Source organism: Homo sapiens, chromosome 3 (genome assembly GCF_000001405.40).
Source record: "Homo sapiens chromosome 3, GRCh38.p14 Primary Assembly".
Taxonomy (NCBI): Eukaryota; Metazoa; Chordata; class Mammalia; order Primates; family Hominidae; genus Homo; species Homo sapiens.
The window spans coordinates 82,395,459-82,420,504 of NC_000003.12; the positions used below are offsets into that span (position 1 = coordinate 82,395,459).

At 34.6% G+C, this 25,046-nt stretch overlaps 1 long non-coding RNA gene across 1 annotated transcript in view; it reads left to right on the plus strand.

The window, feature by feature from the left end:
- LINC02008 (long intergenic non-protein coding RNA 2008) overlaps positions 1 to 25,046 on the plus strand; it is a 477,534-nt gene that overhangs the window by 409,317 nt on the left and 43,171 nt on the right. Inside the window, exon 4 of the long non-coding RNA NR_147146.1 lies at positions 20,662 to 20,843. This is a non-coding gene — a long non-coding RNA (long intergenic non-protein coding RNA 2008). The remainder of the gene's footprint in view (positions 1 to 20,661; positions 20,844 to 25,046) is intronic.

Here is a 25,046-nt window from a genome sequence, read left to right on the forward strand (position 1 = left end):
TAAATAAAAGCAGAAGACAGTAAAATATGAAATAGTAATTCTAGAAAAATTTAAAACAAAAGTTGTTGCATAGCCCAAAAATAATTTTTATATATTGAAAATATAAAGTTCATAAACGTGTAAGTTATGAAGATTTAGTAGTGAATACCATTAACAAACTAACAAAAAATAATTATAAGAAATGAAAGAGGAAACAGAGAAACATCATTGTAGAACATGATCTTCCTATACTTTTTAATTCTTTGACCCAAAAGCAGAAACAAAGATGTTGAAAAACAGGATAATATAATGTAAAAACTAACAAAGAATAATCAAGCATCAATGTAATATTTAGAAACACTCATAATGTATGTGTACTGTAAAGTGAAAAATTGTTATTTTCCCAATTAGAATTGTGTATATAAATTTCTGACCACGATCCAACAATTTTAGAAATAAATAATGAATTTTTAAACAAAATAAATGAGCACTTAAAGAAATATTAAGGTATTTTGGGTAAGAAATAGAAAACAATTGTAAAGTTAATGTGGAAAAATAGTTAAAAATAATCAAATTTGAAAATATGAAGTTACATGCTTTTCTACATAATAAATATGTGATAAAGATGGACTAATTTGAAAAGTGAATTCCTGTAAGAAAATATCCATTACACAGACAAAAAGCTCCAGAAAAGGACTTTAGAAGGGACTTATATGTATAATAAAATTGAGAATTTAAACCACTCATGACATATGGGTTTTTGTTGTTGTTGTTGTTGTTGTTGTTGTTTTGAGACAGAGTCTTGCTCAGTCACCCAGGCACTGGAGTGCAATGGCACAGTCTCGGCTCACTGCAACCTCTGCCTCCTGGGTTTAAGCGATTCCCCTGCCTCAGCCTCCTGAGTAGCTGGGACTACAGGCATGCGCCACCACGACTGGCTAATTTTTGTATTTTTTGTAAAGGTGAGGTTTCACCATGTTGGCCAGGCTGGTCTCAAATTCCTGACCTCGTGATCCGCCTGCCTTGGCCTCCCAAAGTGCTGAGATTACAGGCATGAGTCATCATGCCTGGCCAACATATGGTTTTTTAATAAATGTACTGGGGTACATTTTAAGGTATTTGGATAAAAATAAAGCAAAACCCCTAACAATACTATACACAAAAAGCAATAAAATTCAACTTTTAAATAGAAAGAAGGTGGGGAGAAAGAAAGGAAGAATAAAAGGAGGAAAAACTCAGAGCAATTATTTAACACGAATTTGGGAACTGATTGTCTAGTAGCTGTATGGGTGTTCTTTTTATATTACTAAACATACATTTTCCCCAAAATAACTATATATTTCTTTTTAATATTTATGTAATAGCCTAAATGTATTAAGTGGTATATGTGTTCTTTTTGTATAATTAAACATACATTTCCCAAAAATATTTCTGTATTTCTTTTTATTTTTGTATATCTAAATACAATGAGCATCCACTTTCATAGCAGAAAGACATACCACTTGATTTTTGCAAAGTAGTGTATTAGCAAGTAGGCCCCAGATGCATGCCAGCTGTGTACTCTCTCTAGATCCCATGTCTTCTAGGAGAAGAAGGTTTTTACTGACCCTGACTTACAAAGAGAGAGTAAGTTGCGCTTAGGACAAGAAGCCAGGAAGAGCTTGCTTGGAGGTGGGGAAGCAAGAGAAAGCATAAGAGGTTATCTCTATATTATCTAAAGAAGGACTTTGTACTTTGACAAAACATCTTTGTTAGGAAGCAAAAGTTTTCAAGTTGTAATAAAACACAATTATTTTAATCTCATCTTTTAATTCTAATAGTGAAGATAAGTCTGCTAAATGTTTGTTGAGTGAGCTACATTCATGTTTAATTTGCTGTTCGTGATTTGGAGTTTTTGTTTAGCTGTAGATTACTAGAGAACGTCTAATTGAAGAGTAAATATAATGCAAAAGCACAAAAAAAGGGGCATAGAAGCTTGAAAAGTATTTGCTAAGTACATTTTTACATGTTTTAATATTACATGCCCAAATATTACATGCCTCAAATTAAAATGCAAATAGCAAATTAGAAATAAATATTTGAAGCCTGTATGAACAAAGGTGTTCTATCTTTAATAAAATGATCTTATGTATCAGTAAAGAAGGGAAAATTCTCTGATGGAAATAAAGGCAAAATATTTTTAACACATGGCAACAGAAGAAATACCAAAATCTAGGAGACCTACTTAAGTTTTATGCTCCCTTTGAATTAAGAAATGAAAACAATTCATGTAGCAGAAGAAGGCATGATAAACCTGTTTTTCCTAAACTATGAGTTACTTTATATCGGCATAAAAATTATAGACAGCAATTTGACACTATTTATAAAGAAGCTTAGAAATATCCTTGGCTTTCAGCTTGAAATTTTATTTCAATGGCTGTCTCCTAGGGAAGTAATCAAACATCATTTGCAAGAATATTTGTGGAAAGATTATTTTCAATAGCCAAAACACACACGTGCGCATACATGCACATACACACGAGCACACAAAGCTGAAATTCCACAAGAGATATCTGTTGATTAAATTATTGCACAAAGAATATTTGTTGATGATGGCACTAAATTAAATTCTAGCACTAATTTGAGGCCAATTGATATGCTTTCAAAAACATAACAAAATTGTGATAAAATGCTAAATGAACTTCTAGGATAAAAAACATACAGCATAGTCTTGATATTTTTGAAAAAATATTTCTCAAATCATTAGGTAACAGTTTACAGAGATCTCCACCTGTGTGATCTCTCTCTGTCTCTTGTCTCTCTCTCATTTACCTCTCTCTCTCACACATATACACACACATTTCTCTCTCTCTTTCATTTATTCCCCCAACATTTCAAAGATATTCAGTGTCTACTATTTAGTAAGTATTTTAATACATGTCAGGCTGATAATGGGAAATAGTGGCCAGACTGAAGAATATATCATAAGGTCAGAAACTTTTCTTTGAATAGATTTAAAGTGGAGACTTTAAGGAATAAGGAAAGAAAACCAAAACTCTTATTTCAGGAAATATAGCTGTAGATGACGACTGTAGGTGACCTATGTAGGTGAATGCTAAAAGTGCGCCGATGGTGGAAATGGGGGAAAAATGTCAAGTGAAAGAAACAAGAAAAGAGGGAGAGGAAACGCTCCCTTTTTTAATTTTTAGAACTTGCATAGTACTTGTCATGCTTAGCATTTTACTTTTGCACTTTCTTTTCATCTTCTTGTTACTGAGAGCTGAGGCTTGAAGCTAGGATTTAATCGTGGTTCTGTGAGACTGCAAAAAGTGTGGGAATTCTGGGTGTGATATTTTTCTATATTGCTTCTTAAGTTAAATTGCACCCTAGTCATTATGTTAGAAAAATGTTCTTGAATAACTTGTTTATACTGAGGATGAATTATAATAAAGATAATTTAAAATTTGTTAACTACTTAGGAAAATATTCTGTATGTGCTTTAAAATGATAATTCAATCAAGTATAAGCAAGCATATCCTAAGCATAGATATTCCTAGGTATCTACATGTGGAAAAGATTTAACATTCAACCAATATAATGTACGTTTTATAGAAACAGAAACTGTCTCACAGAGAGGGAAGAAGAATTTTAATCCCGTTTCAGTTTCCACCAGTAATACTAGCCCTTTCATTTATTTTTTAATGTGCTGTCTTGTTCATTTTGTTTTGCTATCACAGCATACCACAGAGTAGGTAATTCATAAACAAAAGAAATGTATTTGGCTCACAGTTCTGGAGGCTTGGAAGTCTAAGAGCAGGGTGCTGGCATTTGGCATTTCTGCATCATGCCATGGCAGAAGGTGGAAGAACAAGAGAGTGAGAGAGAACAAGAGTAAGCAAGAGGGGGCCAAACTCACTTTTATAACAAACCCACTCACCAGACAACTAACCCACTCCTGAAATAATATTAATTGATTCCAGAAGGCAGAACCCTCATGACTCAGTCACTTGTTAAGACCCACCTCCCAACACTGTTGCACTAGGGACTAAGTTTCTCGCACATGAACTTTGGGGGACACATTCAAACCATAGCAAATGCAAAAGCAGCAATTCTCCACACTTTAAAACTGATCATTAATATTTTAATAGGCATAAACAATATAATTTTTGCATAATTAAATCTTCTTAAATGTTATTTTCTAAATTTTCTGGCAGATAAGATTTCTGTTTTATTTGTATATTTTACTATTCAATTAACAATCTGTCTGGGATAAAATGTATAAGCTGCGTTTGGACAATTTGCAGTGTTTTGCCAATTTGCATAGATACTAACCATTTCATTTAAATATTCAAATAAATGCAACCAATACAGGAGCACCCAGATTCATAAAGCAAGTCCTTAGAGACCTACAAAGAGACTTCGACTCCCACACAATAATAATGGGAGACTTTAACAGCCCACTGTCAACATTAGACAGATCAAAGAGACAGAAAGTTAACAAGGATACCCAGGAATTGAACTTAGCTCTGCACCAAGCAGACCTAACAGACATCTACAGAACTCTCCACCCCAAATCAACAGAATATACATTCTTTTCAGCACCACACCACACCTATTCCAAAATTGAGCACGTAGTTGGAAGTAAAGCACTCCTCAGCAAATGTAAAAGAATAGAAATTATAACAAACTGTCTCTCAGACCACAATGCAATCAAACTAGAACTCAGGCTTAAGAAACTCAAAACCGCTCAACTACATGGAAACTGAACAACCTGCTCCTGAATGACTACTGGGTACATAACGAAATGAAGGCAGAAATAAAGATGTTCTTTGAAACCAATGAGAACAAAGACATAACATACCAGAATCTCTGGGACACATTCAAAGCAGTGTGTAGAGGGAAATTTATAGCACTAAGTGCCCACAAGAGAAAGCAGGAAAGATCTAAAATTGACACCCTAACATCACAATTAAAAGAACTAGAAAAGCAAGAGCAAAAACATTCAAAAGCTAGCAGAAGGCAAGAAATAACTAAGATCAGAGCAGAACCGAAGGAAATAGAGACACAAAAAACCCTTCAAAAAATTAATGAATCCAGGAGCTGGTTTTTTGAAAAGATCAACAAAATTGATAGACTGCTAGCAAGACTAATAAAGAAGAAAAGAGAGAAGAATCAAATAGACACAATAAAAAATGATAAAGGGGATATCACCACCGATCCCAGAGAAATACAAACTACCATCAGAGAATACTATGAACACCTCTACACAAATAAACTAGAAAATCTAGAAGAAATGGACAAATCTCTCAACACATACATCATCCCAAGACTAAACCAGGAAGAAGTTGAATCTCTGAATAGACCAATAACAGGCTCTGAAATTGAGGCAATAATCGATAGCTTACCAACCAAAAAAAGTCCAGGACCAGACGGATTCACAGCCGAATTCTACCAGAGGTACAAGGAGGAGCTGGTACCATTCCTTCTGAAACTGTTCCAATCAATAGAAAAAGAGAGAATCGTCCCTAACTCATTTTATGAGGCCAGCATCATCCTGATACCAAAGCCTGGCAGAGACACAACCAAAAAAGAGAATTTTAGACCAATATCCTTGATGAACATTGATGCAAAAATCCTCAGTAAAATACTGGCAAATCAAATCCAGCAGCACGTCAAAAAGCTTATCCACCATGATCATGTGGGCTTCATCCCTGGGATGCAAGGCTGGTTCAATGTATGCAAATCAATAAGTGTAATCCAGCTTATAAACAGAACCAAAGACAAAAACCACATGATTATCTCAATAGATGCAGAAAAGGCCTTTGACAAAATTCAACAACTCTTCATGCTAAAAACTCTCAATAAATTAGATATTGATGGGACGTATCTCAAAATAATAAGAGCTATCTATGACAAACCCACAGCCAATATCATACTAAATGGGCAAAAACTGGAAGCATTCCCTTTGAAAACAGGCACAAGACAGGGATGCCCTCTCTCACCACTCCTATTCAACATAGTGTTGGAAGTTCTGGCCAGGGCAATCAGGCAGGAGAAACAAATAAAGGGTATTGAATTAGGAAAAGAGGAAGTCAAATTGTCCCTGTTTGCAGATGACATGATTGTATATCTAGAAAACCCCATCGCCTCAGCCCCAAATCTCCTTAAGCTGATAGGCAACTTCAGCAAAGTCTCAGGATACAAAATCAATGTGCAAAAATCACAAGCATTCTTATACACCTATAACAGACAAACAGAGAGCCAAATCATGAGTGAACTCCCATTCATAATTGTTTCAAAGAGAATAAAATACCTAGGAATCCAACTTACAAGGGATGTGAAGGACCTCTTCAAGGAGAACTACAAACCACTGCTCAAGGAAATAAAAGAGGATACAAACAAATGGAAGAACATTCCATGCTCATGGGTAGGAAGAATCAATATCGTGAAAACGGCCATACTTCCCCAGGTAATTTATAGATTCAATGCCATCCCCATCAAGCTACCAATGACTTTCTTCACAGAATTGGAAAAAACTACTTTAAAGTTCATATGGAACCAAAAAAGAGCCCGCATCGCCAATTCAATCCTAAGCCAAAAGAACAAAGCTGGAGGCATCACACTACCTGACTTCAAACTATACTACAAGGCTACAGTAACCAAAACAGCATGGTACTGGTACCAAAACAGAGATATAGACCAATGGAACAGAACAGAGCCCTCAGAAATAATGCCGCATATCTACAACTATCTGATATTTGACAAACCTGAGAAAAACAAGCAATGGGGAAAGGATTCCCTATTTAATAAATGGTGCTGGGAAAACTGGCTAGTCATATGTAGAAAGCTGAAACTGGATCCCTTCCTTACACCTTATACAAAAATTAATTCAAGATGGATTAAAGACTTACATGTTAGACCTAAAACCATAAAAACCCTAGAAGAAAAGCTAGGCAATACTATTCAGGACATAGACATGGGCAAGGACTTCATGTCTAAAACATCAAAAGCAATGACAACAAAAGCCAAAATTGACAAATGGGATCTAATTAAACTGAAGAGCTTCTGCACAGCAAAAGAAACTACCATCAGAGTGAACAGGCAACCTACAGAATGGGAGAAAATTTTTGCAACCTACTCATCTGACAAAGGGCTAATATCCAGAATCTACAATGAACTCAAACAAATTTACAAGAAAAAAACAAACCACCCCATCAAAAAGTGGGCAAAGGCTATGAACAGACACTTCTCAAAAGAAGACATTTATGCAGCCAAAAAGCACATGAAAAAATGCTCATCATCACTGGCCATTAGAGAAATGCAAATCAAAGCCAAAATGAGATGCCATCTTACACCAGTTAGAATGGCAATCATTAAAAAGTCAGGAAACAACAGGTGCTGGAGAGGATGTGGAGAAATAGGAACACTTTTACACTGTTGGTGGGACTGTAAACTAGTTCACCCATTGTGGAAGTCAGTGTGGCGATTCCTCAGGGATCTAGAACTAGAAATACCGTTTGACCCAGCCATCCCATTACTGGGTATAAACCCGAAGGACTGTAAATCATGCTGCTATAAAGACACATGCACACGTATGTTTATTGCGGCACTATTCACAATAGCAAAGACTTGGAACCAACCTAAATGTCCAACAAAGATAGACTGGATTAAGAAAATGTGGCACATATACACCATGGAATACTATGCAGCCATAAAAAATGATGAGTTCATGTCCTTTGTAGGGACATGGATGAAACTGGAAACCATTATTCTCAGCAAACTATCGCAAGGACAAAAAACCAAACACTGCATGTTCTCACTCATAGGTGGGGATTGAGCAATGAGAACACATGGACACAGGAAGGGGAACATCACACACCAGGTCCTGTTGTGGGGTAGGGGGAGAGGGGAGGGATAGTATTAGGAGATATACCTAATGCTAAATGACGAGTTAATGGGTGCAGCCCATCAACATGGCACATGTATACATATGTAGCAAACCTGCACGTTGTGCACATGTACCCTAAAACTTAAAGTATAATAATAATAAAATAAATAAATAAATAAATATTCAAATAAAAGTGAGGTAGTGACACGGTTTGGCTCTGTGTCCCCACACAAATCTCATCTCGAATTGTAATCCCTAGGTTTTAAGGGTGGGACCAAGTGGCAGGTGATTGGATTATGGTGGCAGTTTCCTCCATGCTCTTCTTGTGGTAGTGAGTGAGTTCTCATGAGATCTGATGGTTTTTAAGTGTTTGGTAGTTCCACTCTTGCTGTCTCTCTCTCCTGCTGCTTTGTGAAGAAGGCGCCTGCTTCCCCTTTCATCATAATTGTAAGTTTCCTGAGGTCCCCCCAGTCATGCAGAACTGTGAGTCAATTAAATCTTTTTCCTTTATAAATTACCCAGCCTCATGGAAGTTCTTTATAGCAGTGTGAAAAAGAACTGATACAGGTAGGTAATATGCCATGTGTAGTGTATTCATTAAAGAATTCAACTGGAAAATAATATTTTCTCCTATATAATTACCTGATAAAAACTTAGGGAACAGACAGGAACTGAATAGCAAAAGACAGTGTAAATATGTTTCTAAATGTAAAATTTGTAGGCCATTCTTATCTTAAAAATATACATTTAAAATATATATTATGTAGAAATTATGTAAGTAGGGCACTGAATCGCAAAATATTAAGTCATATGAATTTTTCTATTGACAATGCTGGGTAAATATCTTCACCGTACTTATACAGAAAACATATTTCAAACTCACTTGTATTAACTGTTACCAAATAAACAGTTTTGCATTTATTGATTTTTATATATCAGTTATTTATCAATATTCTGTAAAATTTCCTGAGCTATATATTTGTAACTAAAGTGTAAAACCAGACGTTAGGTTTGTATTGCTTAATGACCCATGTTTACATTATTTTGAACTTAAAAGAAATGTAAGGGAATAACTTACTTGTTAGTTCACCTGGAAATATTCAAATGCCTATACATTATTATCCCAGTTGCTTATTTGCCCAAAAACCTATTCAAAGAAAAATTAATGCCCATCTTAGTACAAAGATAACAGTGACTGCTCTGAGGCTCCTTCGTTTTAGAGAGCAGTGATTTTCAAGACATCAGCCTCTTTATTGAGAATCATAGTAATATAATGAAAGATGTTAAAGACAGAACTATATTCTCATAAGAGAACAATATTTTTTAATTACTTATTTTCCTGGAACAACATAGACTGCTTGTCGTAGCTTCTCAACTTGGCCCTAGACTTAAACTTATACTGTAATTCAGACTTACAAGGTGGAAAGAGCCAGGCATTACAGACGTGACCTGCCATATTTTAAGTGTGGAAAAGCCATATGCACAAAAGACTGTGTTGGAACAATCCTAATTGCCAAGATCACAAGGAAAGTCATAGGAGTAGACATATTCTGGACTATACCATTAATGCCTAGGAATTATGGAAAGATCTTTTCTATTTAGAGAGGAAAATATTATTATTTTAAAAAAAGAATAACTCTCTATATACAGCTCATGTTCATCACAAACAGGTTCCTACCTTTTTTCTTTTTTTTATATTTTTTTTCTTCTAATTTCTCAAATTCTTTTTCCTTCATGGCATTTTTTCTTCCTATGAAAGTCCTGAGGCAAAAATATCTTTAGCTGTTACCTAGGGAGGAATCAGCTTATGGAACCTTTTGCTTTGCTGCTTCACTAACCTTCATCCACTATAAGCATCTGGTAAGTCTACATTAATACTTCTTGTGGCTTAAGAGAAGCAGGTGTGTGTCTATTAATCGATTAGGAAAGATCACATCTGGCATTTACTCCTTGTCAAATTATTTTGTAGCTTCTGATCTCCCTAAATGAGAAGTATAGAAAGCAATATTTTGCTCCACAAATAATGTGGGATAGTATCCATTCACTGGACACTGTAATCTTTGCAATTGTAGGAAAAATAGTTCAGAGAATGTAGAATTAAAAAATAATAAAAACAGAATAACATTAAAATGCAAGACCAAGATGGAGGGCTGCTGTGCAATTGTTCCCTGAGGGAATTATGCTTAGTGCTCTTAGATCTGGATTATATTTTTTACTGCTGAGTCCCTTTAAATAGCAGCATAGTCCATTCTTATGCTGCTATGAAGAAATACCTGAGACTGGGTAATTTATAAAGGAAAGAGTTTTAATTGACTCACAGTTCAGCATGACTAGGGAGGCCTCAAGAAACTTACAATCATTGTGGAAGGGGAAGCAAACACGTCCTTCTTCACATGGCAGCAGCAAGGAGAAGTGCAGATCCAAGCAGGGGAAAAGTCCTTTATAGAACCATCAGATCTTGTGATAGCACACTCACTGTCACTACAATAGCATGGAGGTACCTGCCCCCATGATTCAATTACCTCCCACTGGGTCCATCCCACAACACATGGGGATTATAAGAACTACAATTCAAGATAAGATTTGGGGGGGAACATAGCCCAACTATATCAAATAGCAAATAAGAAATTATGCCTTATGGCATGATTAAAAAAAAATTCTATAAGAACATCAGCAGCCAACCAAGACCCCACAGGTCTTTTTAAAGAAATGGCTTGAGTGATCTCAGAGAAAGAAAAAACCACCAAAATGATAATTACATTGTGAGTATATAATCTTGGGAGTCTTGGATACATTTTTTTTTCTTAAAAAGGCTAATAAGAAAAGTTGAAAATACAGTTGTATTTACTGAAGCTATCGAGCAACCTCAATCCAACGCCCTCATTTGATACCTGAGCAAACAGTGGCACAGTGTAGGTAAATTGCTAACAGAGATCATATTATGAGCTGTTGGAAGCAAAGTTAAGACTAGATGGCAACCTATGTAATTCACCAACTCTAGTGATGTTAGGTGTTTCAAGGAAGTAATTTTTAATATATTACTATCATTCTAGTTTGCTTTAAAAAGAGACTCCTATGAAGATCCTATATGTTATCAGAGTATGTTAGAATTGTCTTATATAATCAGTGGCAAAACAGTAGCCCAAAAGTAAGTCCTAACCCAAGTGACATTTAGGACCCCTGGCTCTGACTGATTTTATGAGCTATACTGCATAGCAAGAGACATAGAACTGGGGAAAACATGAAAGCAAAGGCAGAATAGAGGAGGGGAAAATGGCTTTATTTTCATTATGTTCTAGCTTTTGCAAATGGAAGCAAAATATCAAAAGCAGTGCCGGAGACTCTCTCTTTAAATAATGCTCAAATGTTTTCAGAACAGAAGACCAAGACCACCTAACGTAATCCATGAATGTGTAAAAACTGAAGCACTGCTGTCTGTGCACAAGAAATGCCATGCAGTATTTTCTGGTCTGTGAATCCCAAGTGGCTTTAGGATACCCACCCAGAAGGGATCTAAGATGGTGTGATAGGTAGTCTTTAAAATAACACTTAAATTGTAATACATGTAATCAACCTTTAAACCCTTCTCCTCTGTTGGGTCGAAATCATATCTACCTTTCCTCTTTTCTCATGCAACTCTCAAGGCTATATTCTGACTGCTCAAAGACGGCAACCATTATTTTGAGCTGATTTCATCTCTTATGAGTAGTAGGTACGGGGAACACAAACGATGTGTTGAGACTAGCATGGCTTGGAGGCAGATTGATGAAAAGTATAGGAAAGTGAAATGTAGTTTAAGGATTGAGGGAGTGAATATAATGGTTTCAGGTATATAATAGAATCAAAATAAGTACTTAGCTCTTCTTTGAGTTTATCTAGAAAACTGACAAAGACATTGTTAAAAATATTAATTAGAGACCTGATGTGGTGTCCCATGCTTGTAATCCCAGCACCTTGGGAGGCCAAGGTGGGTGAATCACTTGAGCCCAGGAGTTCGAGATCAGCCTGGGCAAAACACCTTATCTACTAAAAATACAAAAATTACCTGGGTGTAGTGGTGCAGGCCTGTAATCCCAGCTACTTGAGAGGCTGAGACAGGAGAATAGCTTGAACCCAGGAGGCAGAGGTTGCAGTGAGCTGAGTTTACGCCACTGCACTCCAGCCTTGGCCTCAGAGTGAGACTAGGTGTCAAAAATTTTTTTGTCTGTATATAAGAGTAGAAACATTAAGTACAAAACTGAGAAGGGTTGAAGGGTCTTTGATATTACCCTACTTTTAAACTAACAAGTAAGCTTGCCACTATTTCTCTCTCTCAACTCCCCACATCCCTACCCCACAGGAATCCTAGACCTCTGGATCAAAGAACCAACCTTTTGTTTACTCACAGAGCAATCTTAGCGGCAATAGATCTCCATGCTCCAATTCCCTGTGGGACAAGACAGTAAGAGTCAGAGGTTACCAGGATATGTTGTAGGAATTACACCCCAGGGGAAGAACCACAAAATAAACAGATGCAAAACCTGCATTGGGTACCCCACCTCCTACCCAGAGACGGAGTGAGAGGGAGACATTTTGCTCTGGAATGTAAACAAATTATCTCTGAGCATGATAGGGTAGGTGCTCCTACAAACATAAGCAAATAGCAAATGTCTCCGAGTAATGCACAATCTCTAACTTCCAAATCCTGCTTTCCATTTAATCACTCATTCCTGATCAATCAAAATATTCATGGAGAGTAGGATTGTTTCCAAACAATGAGAATTTGCTTGGCAGTAGAATGTGAAAGGGGTTGGTTCACACGCCAGTGAAACCAAAACAAAACAGTTAATAAGCTCTTAGAGGATAGGAATGATTTCTATGTTTTCTTTATTATCATTGTTATAACCTAGCATTGTTTTAGATGTTGACAATATTGAAATATAGAATACTACACATCAGAAAGGCCACCTTCTATCTTTCATTCAACCCTATTGTAACTTATATTTGGAACAAATATGTCTCATAAAATTCAATCAAAAAGCAATTCTACTTTGTTTTCCAATGTTTCTTTAAAATATATTTACTGTGGGATATTTACCCATTATCCCTGGGTAAAAACTCATGAATTTTGTATGTTTTTTTCCTATTATCTTTAAGCAAAAAACATATTGTTTAATAAAAATGAAAAGAAACTTGAAATTATAAGTGACAATTTCAACTGCCTTCTTAGAATATTCAGTTTCCTGTAATGTTTCTAGCTTTACTTAGAGTTATAGCTATTCCTTCTCCTCTCATGTAGAAAAGGCTATGCGCAGCCCCGTGGTGTCTAGGAAAGAAAACAGTTGCCTGTTTCTTTCTATGCTCCTCACCTTTTCTGAAATTTATATAAACACTTTCCTATTTCTTTAGAGTAGGAGCTAGGAATCAGAAGAAAAGTAAGAAAAATGGCATATTTGTTTACTTTACCAGATGGTTTCATAGTTGCTGGGTCTGGTAGATATTTAAAACTGAATTTATCCTAAATGACACTTTTTTGTGTTTGTAGGGGTAAGGGGCATTCTTCATAGCTACATCCCTACTGAGGATTTCTTAATTACATCTACAAAGTGTTCCTCTAAATTAACTGGTAGTTTTACTTCTTCAACGATGCCTAGAAATGTTGATATTGATGTTAGCTTTTGACTGTTGAATAACTACTATGCTTGGTCCTATTATACAGTTCCTAAGATGAACCCGTGGCTGGGCATTGTGTGTAGCTTAGCTCCAATTGGTGAACACTCATGAATTGATTGACACATGAAGTCATGGGGTGCAGACCTATCCCCATGTGCTGCCTCTCCAGGACTTATTCCTCAGCATGGAGCTAGCAGCACAACTTCACGTCTTTAGCTTTCTTTGGCAGAAGTAAAACAAAACAACACAAAAGAAAACAAAAACAGAAAACAAAAAACAAAAAAACAGGCTTCTGTGTGTACTCTCCACTTCCTGGAACTGAATGGGGAAATACTAAACTCTCTAAGTAATCTCCTTAAGGCCTGTCTTTTTTAACAATTGTCATGGATATAGACGTCTGAATGTCTGGATAATAATTGTGTTTACTCTGAGATATAATAGATTATTGTGAAAACATCAGAAAAAAATAGTGTCTACTCTTTAGGAAATAATGTCACTTGTTAACATCTATGCAAGACAATAATAATTTTCAAATAGTGGTACTTGTATATTGCTATTCATGTAAATGGAAACCAGAAAACAAATCTGTAGCAATAAATTAGAACAAAAAAATCTCAGATACTGTAATTCTCTGTAATATAGCTATGGAGCCTTTGGATGTGGGCTGAAATATTCTACTTTAACTGGCTTTATCAAGTGGAAAAACTGTAAAGTTTTGTTTTTTTTTTTTTAATAATTCAGACCACTGCAAAGGCCAAGAGCTTTTTAAACGCAGAGGCCATAATATGAACAGTGAAAAAAATAAAGCTTTTGAGGTGCTGAGGACTTTTTTTCAAAGAGAGAAAGGTGGTAATATTTCCCATGTGTTTCAAGATAGACACTGAGCACTGTTAATGAGTGTAGATATTCTATAGATACATTTATATGGCCTAACAAAAGAACTTCTGAAAATGCTTAGTTTTTTTTTTAAAAATCAATTTCTTCACAATGAAGTGGCACCCTTGCCTAGCAATGATTTGCTAATTATATGCCAAATATATATTAAAATATTCACAATCAGGATAATAATATAAATTAATATATAATTTATTACATACAAATAATAATATATTCCATTTTAATCCTTAAATCTGTGCTGAAAGAGCTGTTTACAATGATGGAGATGTTTCTTCACAGAACAATATAGTAGCCACGAACCACATGTGGCTATTGAACACTTGAAATGTAGCTAGTGTGACTGAGGACTGAATTTTAATTTTATTTAACCTTAATTCATTTAAATTAATATTTAAATAGCCACATGTGATTCTCGCCTTCCGTATTTTACAGCACTCTTTAAAAACCGGACTTCATATATCATAAATTCGATTACCAAAAGTATATATTGTAGTGCAAATTATTAATCAAATCCTTCTAATAATTTTCAAATCATTTCTTGATTTTTCAAAATTGTTTGAAAGAACATCACTAGGTAAAACCTGCCCTTATCTGATACATAATCTGAGAAAAGGAATTCCAGAACATTTACCCTCTGATTTTCCCAGCACCTGGCACATTGTTGCAGCCAGAGGGCAGCCAGGTGCCCTGCCACCTGTCCTGGATGGTACATACTTTGTGTCAGTACCTACTGCAATGACTCATCCCAGAGAGACCTGGGCCACTATTGATAATGCCTCTGAAAAAGCTGTATGTTTTTTCACCTGCTCCACTGCCCCCAGTGGATTTGAGCTTCTTTGGAGTAGTGGGGAACATAAAACATGTATTCACTCATGCCCCTGTCACCCTAATGCACTTAACAACCACTGGCAGCATCTCAGCAAGGGCCTATTAACTGCGCGTTTTGGCCAATACTATGCAAATCAACCAGTATGAAAAAAATTTGAATATATTAACAATTGGCATAATGTCTGTTGATCAAAATCACTGACTGTATAGGCTTGGGAGATAATTTTTTTCTTTAGCATTTAATTAGCACTTTAGATGTTAGCAGAGACTCAGGTTGTAGTTTGAATATATCACTTAGGAAATTCATAAAACATTTTAAGGAGCTGCATATGTTTAATAGTAGGAATGATAAGAAAAAAGACGTGTTTACCCAGCTGAAACAACACCTTTTTGCTTTCTGTCTGTATGATTTCTGTTTGGTTGATTTATTAATACATTTTGATCTTTTCTGATGTAGTTTAACATCTGTTCAATTACCATATTCTTAACACACATTTCCTTGGCATGTTTTCTGCTCCATCTTCCCTTTGTTCTCTTGGACAAATTGACTGTTGTTGATTTCATTTCGGATGTGCAATAGAAAAGGTTAAGTGGAGATTATACAAGTGAAGTAAGCCATCAGGATAACATTGGAGAAGTTCAAAGGAAAAATAATGGAGGAAAAGGAGTTCGAAAGAGACACAGAAGAGTAGTGAGATAGTAAGAAGAAAACGTATGCTTTAAAATCTAAAATATTGGTGGCTTTTTTGACAAATTTTATAGATTTTTTTCATCAAATTTTGCCAGTCTAATACTAATCTGGTAAATATCGTATCATTATTACTTTGGCTTTCGGAAAAAATTAACTGTACTAAAGTTATGATGTCAGAGAGAAAGGATATTTGCCATTTTCTTTTTTGTGCATTTTCTACTAATTACTTAAATCTGCAACATAATCTTTTAATAAGTTAAACTTGATTTTCCCATTTTCTGAATGAAAATTTTTTGTTTTTGACATTGAAAGTTTTCTCAAGGTCTCAAGTATCATTCTTTTCATGATTTCTTCTTTTGAATATTTTCCTCTCTTTATTCTCTTTTTCCCTTTCTGCAGAACCTTTAATATGCAATCAGATAGCAAAGAGAAATGCAGCATCCAGGCTGGAAATCAATTTCTGTATATTCTTTATTTCCCCCCTCTCATTTTGAGAAATGAAACTATCAAGCTAAACATTGATATAAAACACAGATCTTCTTTGCTAATATCAAACAGAGCTGTCTCAAAATAATAGGGTATAATTGTTAAATAACACAGTAAGAAACACACACACACACAAACACACACACACACTTGACCACTCAACTCAATAATGAGAGATCTATGGGTTACATTTGCCATAATTTACCAAATTTACCAAATTTTACTACAGTGTTTGTTTAATTTACTCAGTTTATTCTGAGTCCATATGAATCTGTACAATTCTCAATTCTGTGTCATTTGTTTTTGTTTTTGCTCACTTGGTCACCCAGGCTAGAGTGCAGTGGTGCTATCACAACTTACTAAAGCTTCAAACATCCAAGCTCAAGTGATTCTACCATCTCAGCCTCCAGAGTAGCTAGGACTCAGCCATGCATCACCATACTCTGCTACATTTTTAAAAATTTTTAATTTTCTGTTGAAATGGGGTCTTGCTATGTTGCCCATGGTGGTCTCAAACATCTGGACTCAAGTGATCCTCCCGCCTTGGCCTCTCAAAGTGTTGGGATTATAGACATGAGCCACCATGCCTGGACGATTGTGTCTTTTGTTAATACAAATTTCCGTGGACCTCAAAATGTAAAGAAGGGCAATTATGAATTTTTTTACAGAAAAAATTTGAGCAAAGACAGTTTCATTATCTTGAGATTGAAACTTCCAAAAGTAAAGACTTGATTTTGGTTGCTAGATTTTCTCTTTTAATTGTGTTGTGAAACGCAATGAAATGATTTTACAAATAAAACAACAGCGACAAAGCTGGGAATCAGAAAAATGGCAGATGCAAGACCTAATATTTAACTGTAGCAATGAAAACTATTATTGTGACTGGAGAATCCTATTTTTCTCTGTGTTATAAGACAAACATAATATATTTCAATCTTCAGAATGTAAAGCTTGACTCTGAAGTTTTAGAGGCTTTTTACACTCAGCATTACAATATTCCTTCAACTTAAACAAAAATCAGAAAAATTTTCCTGACCTGAGAAAATAGAAGTCAACGGAGGGAGTGAAAACATAAATTGTATGTTTCTTAAGATGAAATATTGTTTGCTAGCTGCTTCTATCACCCTTGCTCATGGGAAGGAGAACATTCAGTGTTCTGGATATGGTCATAATATTACCAAGTCTCTCTCTCTCTCTCTCTTTCTTTCTCTCTCTCTCTTTATCTCTGTCTGTCCCTCTCTCACCCACACTCACAAACACACACTTCTTTTATTTATGAATTAAGAAAATAAATGTTTCCCCCTCCGTAGCTGTTACATTTAAATTTCTGCTGTGATTTCCACGGGATTTTTAGCATATAACATAGAACAAAAAATTGGTAAGGAAATAGTTCCATATGTAGTACCAACCCCAAAATACCTCAGGTAATTATTAGGAAGAAGTGAAGGGAGGTTACAATGGAGCAAGCTATCCTATTTTAACTGCACTGATTACATTTCACAGTGGTGACCTGGGCCCCTTGTGGATTGTTCAAATTAATATGCTTCTAAAATGGAACAGCCTCGCCTTCTAAAAGAGTGGAGTTAGTTTCTATATTGTATGCTGTCACTTCATAACTTAATAATTGAAAATTAATGCTCTCTATGATTATCTATAACTCAGGCAAATCCCCTGAATATTATTGAACCAAAATGTCAGGTAGCAATATGCTTCATTGTATATTTAGTTTACTCGTGTTTTAAAAACAACCTGAATTTAAAAATGGCATCAGGAACTTGTGTGTGTGTGTGTGTGTTTGTGTTTGCTAAATCTTATTAAAATAAATTATCTACCAAATTCAGGCATCTCCAATATGAATGTTTTCTTTCATTCATTAAAAGCAAGAAAACCATATCTATTTATGCTGATGCTGGAGCTTAGTTTTCTTTTAAGATTATATTTGTATTATTTTCCATAGATATTTTTTCCCAAAGAAAAGTGCTTTAATTTGCATACCTCCTCTTTCAGTCTAGATACAGAATAAGTAAAGTTTCAATACTGATTAATTATATAACTGTTAGTTTTTAGATAAACTTCCCTGGCAACACTTAGGAACTGAAATTGTTAAAACAGAAACTACTTTCTTAACACAGTACAATATTTACAGTATTTGATGAAGATATTTTCAAATGAGATGTATAATGCTTTATTGGGAAGTCTTAAAATGCATTTTTATCTGGAACTTTTAAATATAATTTGGAAAATGTAAGGCAAAAATCTGAATAGCCAAACCTGGAATAAATGTATGAGAGACTTCACCAAAAAGTTGAGTTCTTTATTGTAGATGTAATGAATAAGAATACATTGTATCTTGTGATTTTCTTTAGTTTCTTCAAGGTTCAGTCATGTACTTTAAAGAAAATATATTTGAGTTTTTAATTTGAGGCAGATGTTGTGTAAATGCTAAAATTGTGACATCTAATGACAGAAGAACTAACTTTTAATATTTGCAACAAGAAAGTTTTGGCTTTGAGATTTCATCACTAAATTGGAGAGGTTTAAAGAATCTTGCTAATTCCTAATGTGAATAATTTCACTCTATGTATCTATTACCACCAAATGAACTAAAGAAGTATTTAATCAGTATGATATTTTGTGTTTAGAAATTAAAATTAAGCATTGAGAAATAGTGTATTTGTAAACGATTTATCATAGTAAATTGGCCCCAGTAAACTTGGAAGATTTAATAAGAGGTGTCAAATTTTTAGGATAAACGAATGATGAAGTAAGAGTTTACTGGTTGAATATACCCATTGACTCATTTATTTAGTCAAAATTTATTATACATCTACTTAGTATATGCTATGTACTGGCTTAGGTAATGAGCATACACAAGTGAACAGGACATTATTCCTACATTCAGACCATTCAGACTTTATACATTTGTAGACCAGGCTTATACAAATAAAAATTATAATAGGGTATACTATATTTTGTATTAATGTATGTCTATGGAGCTATACAAATACGGAGAGATTCTAACTCAGTGAACAATTGCTGTAGACTGGGAAAAATTATCAAGAAATAATAACTTTATGTAGAGTCTTGGGAATTAACAAGAAATAATAGGAGAGACAATTATATGGCAGATTATAAAAAGTCAGAAGAATTTATTGTGATATTTCAAAAAAAATGTAAGCATAGGATGTTTGTAGAATTCTTGCAGAAGATGAATTTGGAGATATTAGCAAGGGACATATTATAGTTTCCACCAAGATCATCATAATTTTTACTGTATTGGGTATAAATGAGCTGAAATTTGTACTTAGAGTTGTTTTTATTGTTTGTTTGTATTTTTTTGAGTGTAGAGTTTTAAGTGTGATTTTGAATCTTCATCTTGAGTATTCATATTCCTAGATGGTCTTGGGTAACCTACTACATTGCTCTAATTCGGGCATTGACCACTTTGACTGCAGTATGGGGGCTATATTGGAAGACACAAGGCTGAAGAAACTATTTAAAAGTTCCATAACACCGCAGAACTTTGTAGTATTTTTTCCTCTTCTGTATGTACAGCACTATATCAGTGGCTGGCATGTTAGTAGACATATAATAAATACCTATTAAATAAAAATGTATCACACTGTTGTAATCTTTAAGTAATAAGTTTGTTGCTATTGAAAGAAAACAAAATAACTTATGTAAAAGGTGTTTGGTAAGTAGAATCATCAGGGCAAGTTTATCAAATCATTTTTGGCTAAGTCTGGAGAGGAAACTAGATGAGTAGATGGTGTTCAGGTTGCTGACTTAGGCTGGGTGGGAAGTGGGAAGGTAGTATTACTCATTGAGATAGGCTATTTAGGGAGAGTATCCTTTTGCTTTTTTCTAAGTGTCCTCAGAAGTTAATGAGAAATCATCACTTAGGTATGAATTCCATACATTAATGTGTGTTTTGACTAAAAACGTTACCTTCAGAAAGCTAGGTGCACTCATTCTCTTTCACATAGGTTAGCTGTTACTTCTCTTTTAAAAGAATATTCCCAGCTGAATATATTCTTCCTGACAGAAGACAAAAGAAAAAAAGAAGGCTTAATCTAGCTACTATTTTTGTCATCTGGCATCTTAACCCTGTATAATATAAACTTCGGGTAAATCCTTTTCTTATTCCTATACTCACTTTAAAAACTAATTTCAATAGCAGATTGTACCATATTTTCTCATTTTTTTCTGATACTATTATTATTGATTCATTTAAATGCATCTTCTTTGTTCTCCTTTTCAGGTTCATTGGTAATTTGCTAAAAGAATGCCAGTGGGAACAGAACAGAAGCATTTTCAAGATTAAATTGGCAATGGTTGTGACTGATTGGATGAAGGAAGTAAGGGGGAGAGATTCATCAGAGAAAGAAGGCTTCTTTAAGCAGCAGAATTGAGGAATGAGTCAGAAAATAAAAGAGCAAACAGGTTTTTGTTGTTTTATTTAATTTTGGTCAACCTACTTGTATTGGCTTTCATAGCATAAAGAAAATATTTTACTTTGAACAAGCATAAAACAAAAACACATCTTTCATACAATACAATGCAATCGATGGCTTTTCCCCAATGATTTATGGAAATAGCTCTAAAGGAGAGAGATGATTTTGTTGCCAGGTCTCCTCAGATATCATCAGTATTTTTAATCTCTCATGACATTGCTCTACACCCTCTTGCTGCTATATTTCTAAATGCCCTGAGGATGTTATTTCTGGCTGTTTCTCTACAATTATAGGACCATATGCTACTCTCCTTGATCATAGAAATTTATGACATGCTCTCTGTTTTACTTCTACCTCAGTTGACATAATATTTTCCAGCAAGTTCATGTGTTGCTTTTAAAATAACTTAATTCAACTCTTGTAGACAAAAAGAAACATTTTCTTTCTGTGGTCATTCAGGATGAGATGGTAACACCAGAGGTCTCAGTAACAACGCTTCAGGGAAATATTTTTAGGATCTGACACATTCAGCAGAGAAAAGGAAGATGAAAAACTGGCCTTTTCCTGAAAATGTGATAAAAGCAACATCACACTGGAAGAAAACTAACAGAGAATGGAGGTTGATCCACCTAAGAGACCTGTAGGTCAACACATATTCAAGTGCAGATCAGAGAATGAGCCTCCCCAGAAGAGGAAGCAGGAGATCTGAAAGAGAAATCTTTTCACAGAAAGGAAGTGCTCTGTTTAACAGAGCTTGACTTTAGCATCAGTCAATTCAGGCAGCTCTACACAGAAGAGAGCATCTTGCCCCAGTGTCCACAGAGAGCAGGCACTTCCTGGACCCTTGAGCAAACATGCCAGGAGGTCACTTAAAACAGCGACTCTTCCTTGGTTGTACAAAATGAATGGTACCAAGAAAAAATTTTCTTTCCTTGGAGGAAAATTAGATTCATTACAAGCATTTTTTTTTTTAAAGCAACAAATGGAACCCAGTTGTAAAAAAAAAAAAAATAAAGAAAAGAAAAGAAAAGTAAAGGGATATTTCTAGAAACTGAAACGATCACAATGATTTATGTTGAATACGAAACATATTCTAACAGTAGAAGGTCACATTAAACATCCAAGTGATGTTAATGCAAAGAAAATTCAACATTATTTTACAAGGAGGTCCAAATTCTGGAGATAGAATTTTCAAAAAACAAACAGATGCGAGAACTACAGGTATGGGAAGAAAATGTAAGATCAGGCAAAAAATCCAGGTGTAAAGAAATTACATAGAGAAAAGCTACTACTAAATCCTGCCATAGTTGTGTAATTAAAAAGTAGTCTCGGGAGGCTGAGGCTGGCAGATCACTTGAGGTCAGGAGTTTGAGACCAGCCTGGCCAACATGGTGAAACCCCATCACCACAAAAAATACAAAAATTAGCCGGTCATGGTGGTGCATGCCTGTAGTCCCAGCTACCTGGGAGGCTGAGGCAGGAGAACCACTGGAACCCGGGAGGCGAAGGTTGCAGTGAGTGGAGATCATGCCACTGCCCTCCAGTCTGGGCTACAATGTGAGACCCTGTCTCAAAAAAAAAAAAAAAAAAAGTAGTAGTGACACTGAAATATACTACCTTATTGTATACTTACCTATGATCCTCACATTAAAAATGTTATAACCCAAAAGCGATTTAAAAACTAACATATATGCTTTTTTAAAAAATGCATTAAATGGTATTTTATCTGTAAGATAATACACAAAGAGCTATTTGACCCCAAATGTAGCTAAAACTAATTAATTTATATTTTTGTTCTAGTTTATTTTCATTGTATTATAAAGGTAATGTTTTCCACCTGATTCATTTGTTTCTTATTCCAGTGTTTTTATTTTCCAGTTAAAAAGGCTTTTGTGACATCTTAAATTATTTAGCAGAGAGGCATGGCCATAGGATTGGCAATATATCTTCTCTTTTTAACTTCTCCCCTATCTTATGGAGATGGAAATTTTGGGTTCTAAGTAATAAGGAACAAACAGTTGAGAGAGAACTTCAAATTTTAAAACTATGGGAATTCATTTCCAAATGCACATTGATTAAATAGTGGATAGTTTTTTGTAAAGGTTGTTTATAAAGTGGATTTTTGTTTCCAAGTCATAGAAGGTAGGTTTAATAGAAGAATCAGTAATCAAAAACATGTCAGAGATGGGCTGGAGGATTGACTCAAACAAAAGGAAGTTTAATAGAAATAAATTTAATATCAAACTTGTGTCCAAAAACTCCATCTGCACAACAGAATATGTGAGAGGCCAGCATATATACATATAAGTACAGTTAGAGGCTTTCTGACTGAAATAAACGTGAGACAGCAGTGAGATCTGGTTGTCAAAATGATATAATCTTAGACTTCGTTATTAGTAATAATCGGTGGAGAGTGATAATTCCACTCTGTTCACACAATCTGTTGTTAGACCACAAGGGGAATTATGTTCAGTTTTGTTGCATGACAGTTTAAGAGGCAAAAATATCAACTGGTGTATAGTCAGGGAAGAGTAGCTAGTGCCTTGTCTGGGCTTTTAGTAGTGCTGTATGCTGAATATTAAAGGAGGCAGAAATATTTAATATGAAGAATGGAAAATTACGGGGCAGCAAATAAACCCACGCACTGAACTCGGGGGCTCAAAGCGCTTTATGGAGCCACATCTCTCATAATTAATTTAAAATATAACATCAATGAAACATAAAAGATGTATTAAAAAGACTAGAAAAATTATGGTTCCTATTATTGTTAATACTATTTTTGACACATCAACACTTCAAATTATTTCAGAAAACATTATCAAAAACTTTTTTCATTATCGAATTTTGTGACATTCTTTTGTTGGTGCCCTAAGCATGACTCCAGAGCATTGTGGAAATACAGCTCTTCAGGAGGTGGTCACTTTTCAAATACTGGAAACATTTGAATGATGGAGATAACATGTTCAGTATTTAAATATTCAAAACGTATTTGAACCAGAGGACTGCGAAAATTTCTTCTAAATCAAGCAGTACTATTTTTGTCTCTAAATAATAATTTCATTCCTATTAGTTCATATTCTCATATAAATTGATTATAATACATAGAAATTTTCAGATCAAATAAAACGGAGATAAATTAGGTTAATATATGTTAGCTTCTATATTTAACTAAGATTTTTAACTGAAAGTTGTAAGTCACTTTTTCAATTTTGCATTAACCTCATTGCAACTGTCATGGAGTTGATACGGCATTATCCACAAATTGCTTCTGAAGATTATTGGTAGAGGGTACAAAGCAAGGCACATCATCTTTATCATTTGAACACAGGAGATATGATTTTTTAATCTATTTTCTATTGTTATTTGATATGCAATCTCACTTTTAGTAGAAACAGTTGTTTCATTTGCACACAAAAATAAATAGACTTCATTTCATTTGGAGTGGTGGCTTAAATAAGTATATTTGGTTTCAAGAAGAACAGAAATTGTGTTTTTTATTCTTGAGGATAAATTATAAACTCTGCAAAAAATATTAATAGTTTTATATCTTATTTTAGACATCATTTGCTTTAGGGACAATAGAGAAAGCTCTTACAGGAGTTTAAAACGACTAAAAACTAATGTGTAATGAGAATCCTTCACTGCCTATCTCTTGAATTATTAAGTTTGGGCTTAGGTAAAAAGTGCCGTGATTTTTATTTTTATGTAACGACTTTCTTGGGTGCCATAAGGAAAATATTGGGTTTAGCTTTTATTAATTTTTAATAATTTGCTAACCAGTAAGCTAGAAGTGTGCTACTAGAAATTACATTTTGGATAACAAAGAATATTTCCCATGAATCTGTACTCTTTAGCAGCTAATGAACATCTGTTTGTTTGTATAAGCAATCAAACAAACAAATGGAGCCCAGCGCTCAGACTCAAGAACTAGTTTCACATGTAAGTAAAATGTAATTCTCTGCTTCTATTGTATCATTATTATTTTTATTATAACTTTGGGGTATCAGCACCAAACAGGTACATATAATTAAATATAAAAACCATGAAATATGTATACAATTAATTTACATGTAATTAAAATGAATATTTGTATAATTAAAAATAAATTTTGCATTATTCTTATTAGTAAGTATTGTTGTTTCTTTTATTTATAAATTTGGGCTCTCTAAAAAGCTTTCCATTCTCTCTGTTG